At 38.1% G+C, this 13,989-nt stretch overlaps 1 protein-coding gene across 5 annotated transcripts in view; it reads left to right on the top strand.

Moving 5' to 3' along the window:
• The window catches only part of CDH8 (cadherin 8), a 389,189-nt gene that overhangs the window by 80,696 nt on the left and 294,504 nt on the right, over positions 1 to 13,989 (top strand). The window lies entirely within an intron of this gene.

Raw genomic sequence — 13,989 nt, 5'->3', positions numbered from 1 at the left:
TATTTTTACAGACTATCAGAAACATCCTTCCTGCTAGGATTTCCCTGTTTAAAGTTATCCAGAGTTTTGTGTGACCACTTTTAAATGACCTTATGATAAACTCTTTCTTGTAAATGGTAATTAAAAAAAAGAAAGAAAAAATTAAGAAAGTAGATGAAGTTTATGTCTATGAGGTTTTAAGAGAAAAATTTCAGTCAAACTAAATTTAACAGAATTTAATTGACCAAAGCACGATTCAGAAATCAGGCAGCTCTCTGAACCAGAGGCTCAAAGAGACTCCTCTGCAGCCATGTAGTACAAGGTTTATGAACAGAAAAGGACGGTGGCATACAGAAAACAGAATTGATGTACACAAACAGCGGGATTGGCTACAGCTTGATGTTTGCTTTATTTGAACATGGTTTGAACAGCTGGCCCCTTTGGCCAAAACTCAATGATTGGCACAAGAGTAGGTTATGGTCTGTTTATACCTCCATTAGGTTATGGTTCATTATATATAGAGAAATCTTTAGGTTGACTTAAGTATGTAAGTAGGCAGCTTTAGGCTAACCTTGATTTAACAGAGGTACTAGGACATCTGAAGAGAAAACAGTAACCCATTTTGTTATATGAATATCAATAGTCTACAGTGGAGGATAGCATGTCGTTTATTAGGTGCAAATCCTTTTCTTACACATTTAGTAGGTCTATGGACTTGGTAATGCCATTTCCCTGACTCTGTTTCATTTCTACATCTGTGAAGTGGATCCAATACCCACTTTAGAAGGTTACTGCTGAAATACAATGAAATAATGGTGGTTCATTATGTCTTAGTTTTTCATATTATTGCTACAAAGCAGAGTTTATATTTACAGATGTGTTCATTATTGCTTAGATATTTCACTTCTCCCACAGTTAAAGATTGGGACTTAGGCTACTCTAATTTGAATTCAACAATTGAATAATTATATGAGCTTGGGCTGGTTTTTAAAAGTATTTTTGTTTTGCAAATTCATTTCCTGTATTTATCTTTCTTTCTTTCTTTCTTTTTTTTTTTTTTTTTGAGATGGAGTCTCGCTCTGTTGCCCAGGCTGGAGTACAGTGGCCCAATCTCGGCTCACTGCAAGCTCTGCCTCCGGGTTCACGCCATTCCCCTGCCTCAGCCTCCTGAGTAGCCGGGACTACAGGCACCCACCACCATGCCCAGCTAATTTTTTTGTATTTTTAGTAGAGACAGGGTTTCACCGTGTTAGTAAGGATGGCCTCAATCTCCTGACCTTGTGATCCACCCGCCTCGGCCTCCCAAAGTGCATTTCGAGTATTTATCATGAGTCAAATTTAATTGTAGGTTCTACGGATACAAAGATATTTAAAACCCAGTCCCAGTTTTTAATAGAGACCACACTATTAACATTATCATTGGCTCTGGGACTGGAATAATTGTTTTGATGTGAAACCCTCAATAGGTGAGAGGGTGAGAACCAAGTAACTGGGAAAGATGGACATCATATATAATGGGTTTTTCCTCCTCCTTTCTCCATGGTGGATAGATGAGAGCTGAACAACCAACTTCAAAATGTGTTTTAGCAAGATATGGGAAGCCCTGACATGAAAAGAGTTCAGCCTAGTGCATTACTCCCCTTGTTAACCTCTAAATCTGGCAATTATACATTGCAAACATGGTGTATTAAATGAGACGATTTTATGGAGTTGGTCAATACAACATTAAACAAAATGTAATCTCTTGGAAGCAGTTATTCAATGTTTAGTTCTGAGTCCTTTGATATTTGAAGGAGAAAGTCTCTATATAGTAGATAGCATGTTATTAAGGTATTTTATATATATATATATATATATATATATATATAAAGTTTTTTTTTTCTTTTTGAGACAGAGTCTCACTCTGTTGCCCAGGCTGGAGTACAGTGGCACAATCCCACAATCCCAGTTCACTGCAGCCTCGACCACTTGGGCTCAAGCGATTCTCCCGCCTCAGCCCCCCAAGTAGCTGCAACTACAGATATGTGCCACCATGCCTGGCTAGTTTTTGTATTTTTTTGTAGAGACAGGGTGTTGCCAAGTTGCCCAGGCTGGTCTCGAATTCCTGGGCTCAAGCAATCGTCCCACCTCTGCCTTCCAAAGTGCTGGGATTGCAGGCATGAGCCACCAGGACTGGCTCCAGTGTCTTTTTTTTTTTTGTAAGAAAAATTGGTCTCATACTCAGAAATTTTGGGAGACAAGAACTAGCATTATATATAGTTTTCTTTTTCACTGTATTTGTAATGTTCTCTTCATAATATGACATCAGTTTTCCCATTAATAACAATATGACAAGTTATTTTAAAATGTATTTCATGGTGAGCAAGAAATAAATTAATAGTGTTCCTGTACAGAAAAAATATCAAGTAGATGAAGAAGAATAGCAGAAGTATGAGAAATATGGAAAGCTCTGCTCCATGAAAATTATACATTCTTAATATGTCTTGTATTAATTTATATAGTTCTCTTTATTCCTCTACCCTTGAGCTCTGTCTTAGTCCATTCAGTTCAGGCTGCCTGGGAAGTCCAAGATCTGGGCACCAACACATTTGGTGTCTGGTTATGGGTTACTTTCTGGTTCATAGATGGCACCTTCTGACAAGTTCTCTCTGTGTCCCCACATGGTGGAAGGATTGAGAGTGGATCCTTTTATATTAGTGCACTAATCCCATTCAGGAGAGTGAGTCAGCCCACGTTACCTAATCACCTCCCAAAGGCCCTACCTCCTACCATCCTCACATGGGGATTTAAATTTCAACATAGGAATATTAGGGAGACATAAAAACACAGACAATAGCAGGATGCAAATGAAGATCCTCCTTGAATTGTTACCTAGGTATTCTAAGTCATCTCTTTGTATCCATTTGCTCTGATTCCCAATATGTGCTCTACACTTAATCATAGAGGGGATATAATTTGATTTGCATTTTGTGAAAATTATTCGAGACAGCACAACACATAAATTATTTTTTATTGCCCATAGGAGATAACATTCCGAGGATCCCTAATAAACATTGCATAATTTTGCCCCTGCTTGCTTATTCAACCTTCTGCAGATCATGCAACCTCTTCAACAGTATTTGCATTCCTCCAGCTCTAGCCTCTTTTAATTTTTGACTTTTGCATAGATTGTTTCCTCCATGGTTTTCATGATGTATTTCCTCTATTTTGAATTCACCTCCTCTGCCATTTCAGCAACCAGCCTGCTAACTCCCAGCCTTCTGAAAATCTTTTACATGTTTACTTCATTTGAGAAGCTCTCCCTGGCACTTCTCCATGAAGCCAAACCTCTTTATTCATTCTTACATGATGCCCAATACCTATCTTTTATAACACTTAGCAACACAAATGCCATAAGTAAAACCATAAGTCTGTCTCCCAAATCCAACTGTACATTATTATATTCTCAGCACCTAGCACAGTAAGGGAGCTCAAAATATATTTATTTTTGAATTAATTAATGAATGGAGTTCTTCTGTGGTATTCTTTAGCTGTGGTAGTGGTATTTTATTCCTATTTCACAAACCCATGGAAGAAATGATAGTTTATTTTGCTCATTATTTTGACTCCTATTAATAATGAGAATTATAATTTTCACAAATCTCAAAAAAGACGTTTTAACAGACAATTAGTCAACATCAGCTCTAAAGAGTTCAACTTTGGGAGCCACACAGATAAAGTAGAAGACATGGCCACTGTCTTCGATAATATTCAGTAACTTCTTGGGAGTTTGTTCCATTTCTCTCCACATCAAAGTTTTCTATTAGCTTATACAATGAATGAATTCCAGCAAAGTTGACAAATTCTTGTGAAGCAAATCCCGTTTCCCATTGATTTCATTATTAAATTTTAAATGTATTTCCTCTTGGTGAGGGATACCTGCAGTATTTTATTGTTTAATGTAGTGGCTCATGGGGAAATCATAACCCTTTCAATAAGTAAAGAGAAAAGGAGGAGAGAGAGGCATGAAGGAATTAACATCCTATAAAAGTGCTGTAGGTGAGGAAAGGATAATGGTAGTTTAGAAGCTGCTTCAGGCTTTTGACTTCAGTATAGTAAAATGTGAAATCCATTGCAATATGTAAAAAAAGGAATCCCAGTATTTTCACGCTAGTTGAATAACCTAGGACAGTTTTTTAAAAAAATTATTTGAGTTCTGTTTTGTCATATACAAAAAGAAGATCATATGGCATCTTTTTTTTTTTTTTTTTTGAGACGGAGTCTCACTCTGTTGCCCAGGCTGGAGTGCAGTGGCATGATCTCGGCTCACTGCAAGCTCTGCCTCCCAGGTTCATGCCATTCTCCTGCCTCAGCCTCCCAAGTAGCTGGGACTATAGGCGCCCGCCAGCACGCCCAGCTAATTTTTTTTGTATTTTTAGTAAAGACTGGGTTTTGCCTTGTTAGCCAGGATGGTCTCGATCTCCTGACCTCGTGATCCGCCTGCCTCAGCCTCCCAAAGTGCTGGGATTACAGGCATGAGCCACCATGCCCGGCCCATATGGCATCTTTTATACATGTATTGGGAAGATAAAATGAAATATATGTGTATTGTTCAGCATCATGTCTGGTAAAAAGAAAGTGCCCATTCAAATATACCTGCCATGATGATGATGATGATGATGATGATGATGATTACTAGTTATCCAAAGACTGGAATGTGGAGGTTTTTTTTAACTTTTATTTTAGGTTCGGGGGTAAGTGTACAGGTTTGTTACATAAGTAAACTTGTGTCATGGGGGGTTGTTGTATGGATTATTTCATCACTCAGGTATTAAGCCTGGTACCCAAGAGTTATCTTTTCTGTTCCTCTTCTTTCTCCTACCCTTCCCCCTCAAATAGACCCCAGTGCCTTTTGTTCCCTTCTTTATGTTCATGAATTCTCATCATTTAGCTTCCACTTATAAGTGAGAACATGCAATGTTTGAGTTTCTGTTCCTGCATTAGTTTGCAAAGGGTAATGGCCCCCGTCCCATCCATGTTCCCACAAAAGACATGATTTTGTTCTTTTTTTATGGCTGTATAGTGAATATGCGGTTTTAATGACATAAAAATATAAATAACAAGGAATTATATTTAAACTGGTTTTGGGGGGAAAATAAGAAATGAAGTAGATATTTTGTTATTCAATTATTTTCAAAGGAAAGTTAAGACAATGCAGTCTCATATCTTGACACCGTAGTTCTTTATATTGTAACTTTTGTCACAAAGCCATTAAGCAGAAGTCATAAGTGGGATAGACACCCAGTCGCATCCCTTCTGCTACTCTGCACTCAAATCATTTAATTTTTTTAAACATTGATTCACTCAACAATAAGTATTGAACTCTTATGCACATCCGGTAAATAGAGTAAAATCTAGTACCTACCAGCAATATTTCCCTGAAGTTGTCTTTCTTATGAAGAGCTGCTTCTCAGCTAAAAATATCCTACTCTCTGTCTTATCTCTTGCACCTTCTCTCAACAGAGAAGTCAGAGAGGAAGAAAAAAAAATTCATTTGAGATCAAAAAGGCTTGCCTTCTGTATTACAACCTGTATCACTTACCAGGGAGTATATTGTGTTCATCCTTTATAGACAGAAAGTGCTTTATCGATAATTTTGCTGTACAACCTCATTTGTAGGTCCCTGACTGTCTTGATTTCAGGATTATTCAGGCTATATATGCTGCAAGAAGCCAGGGAATAGCAACTGCCAGTGTGATGCAGTGGTTCATGAAGCTTAGGATTTTTTTTTTTTTTTAAGACAGGGTCTTGCTCTGCCACCCAGGCTGAATTGCAGTGGCAGGATCATGGCTCATTGCAGCCTCAACCACCCATGTTTAAGCAATCTTCCTACCTCAGCCCCCTGAGAGTTGGGACTACAGGCATGCACCACAATGCCTGGCTAATTTTTGTATTATTATTATTTAGTAGAGATGGGGTTTTGCCATGTTGCCCAGGTTGGTCTCGAACTCCTGGGATCAAGTGATCTGCCGCCTTGGCTTCCCAAAGTGCTGGGATTGCAGATGTGAGTCCCCATGTCCAGCCAAAATGTCTTAACTGTAACATTTTCCCAAGCATATCCTATAAGGTATTAATAGATGTCATGTTGTGTCCAGAGTTGGTTCCTTCCAGTGGGTTCTCGGTCTTGTTGACTTCAAGAATGAAGCTGCAGACCTTGGCGGAGTGTTACAGCTTTTAAAGGTGGTGTGGACCCAAAGAGTGAGCAGCAGCAAGATTTATTGTGAAGAGTGAAAGAACAAAGCTTCCACAGTGTGGAAGGGGACCCAAGCAGGTTGCTGCTGCTGGCTGGGGTGGCCAGCTTTTATTCTCTTATTTGTCCCCACCCACTTCCTGCTGATTGGTCCACTTTACAGAGTGCTGATTGGTCCATTTTACAGAGTGCTGATTGGTGCATTTACAATCCTTTAGCTAGCACAGAGTGCTGATTGGTGCATTTACAATCCTCTAGCTAGACAGAAAAGTTCTCCAAGTCCCCACTCCACCCAGGAAGTCCAGCTGCCTTCTACGCTCCCAACTCCAAAGAGTCAGGGGTTGTTAGAGAGTCCTTTCCCAGAAAGCCTGATACCCATGTCTTTAGTCTGGCGGCTGCGACAATGTGAAACAGAGATTCTCAATATCAACTACAAGACTCATGAGTTATTTAAATTGTAATATGTTTCTTCATTGCAAGAGTAATCAGAACTTTTTAAATTCTGACCTCTACTGTGTATCTCCAATTTAGAGATGTGAGATAAGATACACACGGTAGGTACTGTTTACAAAAATGCATTTAAACACTTTTGATATGTAAGATTACTTTTGAACATGTTCATTCTCTTCTCCACTTTCACCTCCATGGGATTAGTATACTTGTGTGACCCACTGATGTCGGGATGGGTTATGCGATTCGAAAGAAGAGTTTTACAGATTACTTTCTATTTTTGTCAAAAATATTAAGAATAAAAATTTTAAAAAGGAAGATTTCTTAAAAAGACACTGTTCCAACAATTAGAATATACTCTCGTCTTTAGCATTTTCTTGAGCGGGCTTAAAGCTACGGATTTAACATCTATTGTTGGGCTATTGTTTCTTTCAACAATGACTCCCTGGGTTTGTATTTGTAAAGAAGGTGTTGGGACTCTTCAACTGTCTGCTCTTCTCTGTTTTTCCTTGTTAAGTTCTTATCTCTTAAGCAAATATAGGCTTCACAGTTAACCTTTGAGTAGGGAAGCTCCCAGAGATGCACATTGCCTATGAATTTAGATAACCTTTGGGGGACAGCATATTTTCCACTTGGAGCCCTCATTGTATTCTGGTTACATATTGAAAGATATTTGGTGAATAATGAATGAGTAGTGTGTCTACTATTGGGGAGGCACTGTTCTAGATGATGTTAGATTTTGGCTGTGTTCTCAACTTCTTCCAACTTCATGATATATTTTTTAAAATATACCCGACAATGATTAGATCAGAACGAGCAGAGAAGCAGGAGATCAGAAATCCTCAGAAGCTAATTCTTATAGGCAGTTTTAAGTTAATGCTTTCATACATATTTTAATATCTGTCTCTTCCATTATGTTATTTTTTACAGAATCAGCTCCCTCCAAACACCTTCTTAGTTTTTCCCCAAATTTAGGGTCATACGTTTGTATGATTGATTGATTTTTGTGTGGTTTTCTCATTATTGTGCCAGTATCAAATGTGAGGCTCTTGGGTATTGGATAACTAGTCCAGGACAGAAATAGGGTCAGGGAAGATTTAATGGAGACTGTGAATGGCACGTTACTGGAAGACCTGTGCTCTTGACCACAGAGTTTGCCTGACTATCTCACTGTATGGATAAAAATTCCATCAGCTGAGCATGCCCTTGGGTTATTTTCATTTTCTCGAGCCATCCCTTATTTGAGAACAGAGCCCTAATAGCTCTGTAAGTTGACCAATAACAATTCAGTGTTGACATTTAAATATATATTAAAACCATTTAACATTTATTTTAATCTTAGACATAACTTGTAATACTCTAGAATAATGAATGAAGCTTTTTAAAGAATGAGTTAAAACAAACATGTAGAACAAGAAAAAAATCACATTCATATATTAAGTCTGAAAAGGAATGTGTTATTTCATTTAGAGGAAAAAATGTTTTTTACTTTCCCTCAGATTTACACTGTCTGAAACAAATTCTGCTCTATTTTACTTTCCACAGACTCACATATATAGGGGGAGAAAATTCAACCTAGAATGAGAACTCCTTGAAGGCAGGGACCATGTATTATTCATCATTCCTGTGTGTAACTTCTCTGGCAAATGATAGGAATGCAATACAGGTTTGATGAATCCATGTGACTGAAAAGAAGTTTAATCTATCCCTGAATGGTATAGGTACAAAAATATGTGCTTGGGGAATGTTCAACATTTTCTTTGACACATTTAATATAATTTTTAATTCAAACTGTTTTCATATAAAAATATTTTATTGCCTTGCAGAAAAATCATATTTGCCTCATGTCTTTGTAGTCATTGCAATAATAGTCATACTCAATCTTAAGTCAAATATACTTCAATTTAGAAATAATATTCATGTATAGAATTAAATAATGGGGTGAAGTTGTTTTGGTACTGTTTGTGACACTGTTTTTTGATCAGTCTTGAAATTCTTGGGCTTAGGAAGCAGAGATGTTTCAAACTCCTTATACTGACATCTACCTGGTAAATAGGAGAGTTGAACATTTACACAGGAAACAGATAACAGTTTTGCCAATCTTAGTTACCACACAGTTTGATTCTGTGTTCTACATGGAACATCAATCATTTCTCTTCTGCTCTATAAATTCTGCACCTAAGATTGTTCTGCATCACCCAAGAGAAGAAGAGAAGTATTGCTATTCAGTTTAGGAATTATTTATTAGGAGTCCAAATTGTGCAGAATAGAATCAACAGATAGCTTGATAGGCAGTGTCTACTTGGGCAAGTTGCTTTGTGGCATTGACCTTCAGAGTAACCCTGTTTCACCTAAATTGCATCTGTTTTCAGGATCAAGAGGGTTAATGTATGTGAGGGGAAAAGATGGAAGAAAACTTGTGTATTGAACATTTACTATGTACCAAAGCTGTGACCTATCAAACGCCAGTTTCCTAACCTATTAAATAAGCATGATTCTATTGCCTACCTCAAAGGAGAAAGTAAAAGCTTGAGCAAGCATCAACTGTTGAAGCTGGAACTCAAGTCCTATTGTGCCTGGCTCTGAAATTTATCTCCTTTAATTTTCCCTAAATTGCTTCTCCAAGAATACTTTACATCTAGGTGTAAAAACTAATGCTTTCTTTAGAATTCTGTTAGGCACCATGAAAGACACACAATCTTCAATTCTTGTGAGTTCCACTGTTTCTTGAAGACATAGTTTTTGCTTTACAGAAATAGAAAAGAGTTCCCAGTCTTGCTCAAACTTCCTGTGGGGTCTTTGACTATACAATTTTCTGAAGGATCTTAGGCCAGAAAAAGCAAAAGAACCACTAGAGGACACCTGGTGGTCTTCTCCAAAACAGCAGGGTAGATCTTTGGCCATGAGTGTGTTTCAGAGGTCCTCTGTGTGTGTGTGCATGCACATGTGTGTATGTTTTCCTGTGTGCAAGTGGGATATTAGGAGTGGGCAGGAGGCAGTAGAAACTTCAGAACAGGAAGGTGAACTCAAATTTTTGAGAATCCTTTGACAGATAGCAGTTTTGAAGATGCCAAAATCCATTCTGCCTGTGACTCATTAAAATAAAGAGAAATCACAAAGCATCCTTTGATTCAGCCACGTTTCTTTTCACATTTTACAGCCATTCATTCTACAGCCTTCCAAAGGATTTAGAAGAAAAATCGGAGGAAATAGTGAAAGAAACAAAACAAAACAAAAAAATCACGGTGCCTGAGAAAGCTGTTAGAAAGCCTAGTTCCCTGTAAACAGCTTGCCCCACTACCTTTTAGCAACATATTTCTCTTGATTCACACCAGCTGGTCGTTTCTAATTTCTCCTCAGTGTCTTGAAATAGCTATTTTCCTTGAAGCTAATCCCTCAGCCTTTGCTGATGACTCCCTGGGTTTGGATTTCCTAAAGAAGGTGTTAGCACTCCTCAACCGTCTGCTCTTCTCTGTTCTTCCTTGTCAAGTTCTTAACTCTTAAGCAAACTTAGACTTTGCAGCTAACCTTTGAGTAGGGATGCTCCCAGAGATCCACATTGCCTATGAGTTCAGGTAACCTTTGAGGGTAAGAAAGATGACATATCGGAGTGGATAAACTTGAATCTTTTTTTTTTTTTTTTTTTTAATCATGCATCTAGGCACAAAACGAAATTGGCCTTTTGGCAGGACTGATTGAGGCTTGAGTATCCTGCCAGCTACCATGTGTCTCTCTGAGCAGTAATAACCGTTTTTTAAGAAGCAGCTGACTTTGTGATCATTCCGATGCAAATTCTATTAACAAAGATAGAGTGCATTTCTCATTTACCATTGCATTTAATCTTCACAATGACCCTGTTGTATGGATAATCTCACGTCTTCTTTAGAAACAATTTTTAAAAGTCTCCAAAAGTTTAAGAATTTGCTAACATCACAGAGTTCTTAAGAATGAAACCTCAATTCAAACTCAGGAGTGTCAGACTCAAAAGCCAAATGTTCTCCTCACTAAAGTGCTGATGGTAAGGCCCTGACTATAATGGGCAACAATACTGGATCTTCCATTGCAGTAAATGTGATGAACTTGAGTTTTCTTTGAACCTGCTGTCTTAGATTTGGGCCATTTTTTTTTCTTTCCTTTATCATTGATAGGAATTTAATTTTATATCTATACCTATATCTATGCACTTTTTACTTTAATTTCTGTTTTTGCATTATTGACAGACATCCTTGAACTTGAGAAGCCTTGTTTAAAAAAATGAGAAAACCAGAACCATGCCTGTTGCATTGGTCTTATTTATTTATTTATTTTGGAGATAGGGTCTAACTATGCAGCACAGACTGGTGTGAAAATCCTGGCCTCAAGTAATTCTTCTGCCTCCAGCTCTTAAAGTGCTGGCATTACAGGCATGAGCCACCACACCCCGCCTGCTCCTATTTATTGTGCATTTGTTGATATTAATATCTCTCAAAATGTAAGTGATTTACACTGATTTAATATGTTTAATTCTCATAAAAACCTAATAAGTTAGCTGCCAAAATTATTCCTGATTTTAAAAGAAGAGGTGAAAGCTTAAATAATTTGAAACAGGTGATTCAGCTAATAATCAATACAGGCAATATTGAAACAACTAAACTGTGTATCTAACAGGCAATGCCACCTCCCCCAGCAGTATTTAGAAGGGAACAACTGAGAACCCTTAGAGGTATATTTTTTCTGTTAAACGTATCTGAATTCAAAGCAGCAACAATTACAAATTCTCAGACAATCAACATCCAGACTCTTTAATTTGGCTCCTGTCTATCCCTTTAACTCATTTCCTGTCACTTTGTGCTTCTCAACTGAGTGTTGCAAAATTCACGGGGCACTCATGTGCCAAGAACTGTGACGTTACATATTTTATACCTATTATTGTCTCATTCCAGCCTCACAATGCCCCTCTGAGGTAATGAACAATGCTCTCCAAGCCTCCATGGTTCTCCTCTGTAGAAGGAAATAATAAGTAGCTTGCCCAAAAGACACACAACTCCTATTCAGGGAAGCTGGAATGCAAACCCAGTCTAAAAGGATCCAGTTATTACCATTAAGCTATGCTGTTGATGTGCTTTATCTACTTCTGTCTACTTGAGAGTTTTCTTCCACTGGCTTTGGTAAATTGATTCCCTTCTTTTGTTGACACTATGCCTCATTCTGTTTTTCTCAGTTCTCACCTAACTCTTCTGTTGCTTTGAGAATCTTCCAAAGATGCCTTCTCTGTGTTATTCAGCCTCTGAGCTCTATAATACCTTCCTATAATATTATTTCACTTTTCATGTTGTAGTATTAATTTTGTATTTATTGTTCTACTATCTGCATTAGATCAAGGGATCTGAGAAAGGGACTCTGTCTCACTTATATTTTCCAAAGTTAACACAGTACATGGAAAATAGAATACATATTTATTCAAAAAACATATAAAATGCCTTGTGTGTCTGAATAAACCCAGTTCTTATGTAGACATGGTAAGGGATTATTTGGTATTCATGTGAGCAGTTAGGTTTTGTGTCAGAGTAGAATGACCACTCTATCAAAAGCTCCATACTATTTTGACATGAAATTGATCTGCAAACACCTATCCAGAATCCCAAACTAATCTAAAGAAGGACAGAATATATCCCCTGAATTTTATCTTTCTCATGTGTTTAGAATCTAGCTGATGAAAATTCATTTTACTACCACCTTGTTTGTTTACATTCGTTTGTTCTCTCATTCAGCAATCTACCACGCAACACGTAATGTTAGTGAGCCACTCTTCTAGGTGCTGAAATAGCCACTCTTCTAGGTGCTGAAATACAGACGAATCCAGATAAGGCCTCTACTTTCATGAAGTTTATATTCTAGTGTCTCAGGTTGGAGAATAAGGAAATACAGAAGATGAAACAGAGTGATATAATGCAGAATGACTGGATGATTAGTTTGGGATTTCTGGAAAATATTTTCTGTATTGGTGTTTTTCTTTTTTTGTTTTGGTTTGATTTTGTCTTTTTGAAACAAGGTCTCACTCTTTTGTCCAGGCAAGATGGTGCAGTGGCAGCATCTCAGCTCACTGCAACCTCTGCCTCCCGGACTCAAGCGATCTTCCCACCTAAGCTTCTCAAATAGCTGGGACTACAGGCATGGACCACTTTTTTGTATATTTTGTAGAGGTGCGGTTTTGCCGTGTTGTCCAGGCTGGTGTTGAATTCCTGGGCTCAAGTGAGCCTCACACCTCAGCCTCCCAAAGTGCTGGGATTACAGGTGTGTGTCACCATGCCCAGCTGGAACTGGTGTTTTTCAAAGCTACCCTGTGCATGACTAGAAGTAACCAACTATGGAAAGAAAAGGGGGAGTAATGAAAATGTCTTTAACAAGGAACAAGGTGAACTTGTTAGAGGAACAGAAAGAAATCCAGGTGGTTGGTGAGTTGTGAGCTAGCAGTAGAGTGGTATGAGATGAAGTTGGAGTGTAAGATCAAGGTCAGGTAACATAGGTCACTATGTGAATCAAGATAATGAGCTTAGCCCGTTTCCTCTCCTCTCCTCTTTTTGTTTTGTTTTGTTTTGTTTTAGAGGCAGTCTCACTCTGTAACCTGTAGCCCAGGCTGGAGTGCAGATGTAGGATTACAGCTCACTGTAACCTGCAACTCTTAGGCTCAAGCAATTCTCCCATCTCAGCCTTCTGAGCAGCTAGGACTACAGGTGTACCTCACCACACCCAGCTAATTTTTTATTTTTATTTTTGTAAAGGTGAGGTCTCATGACATTGCCCAGGCTGGTATCAAACTCCTGGGCAGAAGTGATCCTTTCACCTTGATCTCCCAAGTACTGGGATTACAGGTGTGAGCCACTGTGCCCATTCCTTAGTCTGTTTTCTAAATGTGATGGGTGGGTACTGAAGAGTTTTAAACTGAGGGCAACAGCATGATTCTTTAAAAAAAATCAAAATGATCAATTAGGCTATAATATAGAGAATGGGTAGCATTGGAAATAATAAAACTGGGACTTCAGGAATATTTTTAGAGAATGAGCCACCACTTCTTACCCACTATTTAGATGTAGTGTTTGTGAGAAGAGAGGGGTCAGGAGAACTTATTGGGTAGATGGTATGGCCATTTACTAAAACGAGGAGCAGGTTAATGTATAAGGGAGAGATCAAAGGATGAGATAAGATCTCCTAAGGAGAGTGTGTAAATAGAGAAAATTGAGGATGCTACTGGAGGGAGCCAGTCTTTTGAGTTCTGCAAAAGAAAAGGGTGTCAACAGAGGAGATTAAGATTATGAAAGATAATGCAATCAGGAAAAAGCAAAACAAAACAA

The sequence above is a fragment of the Homo sapiens genome, chromosome 16 (assembly GCF_000001405.40).
Source record: "Homo sapiens chromosome 16, GRCh38.p14 Primary Assembly".
NCBI classification, from domain to species: Eukaryota; Metazoa; Chordata; class Mammalia; order Primates; family Hominidae; genus Homo; species Homo sapiens.
The sequence above is the reverse complement of the archived record's forward strand: the minus strand, read 5'-3'. Positions and strand labels throughout refer to the sequence as shown.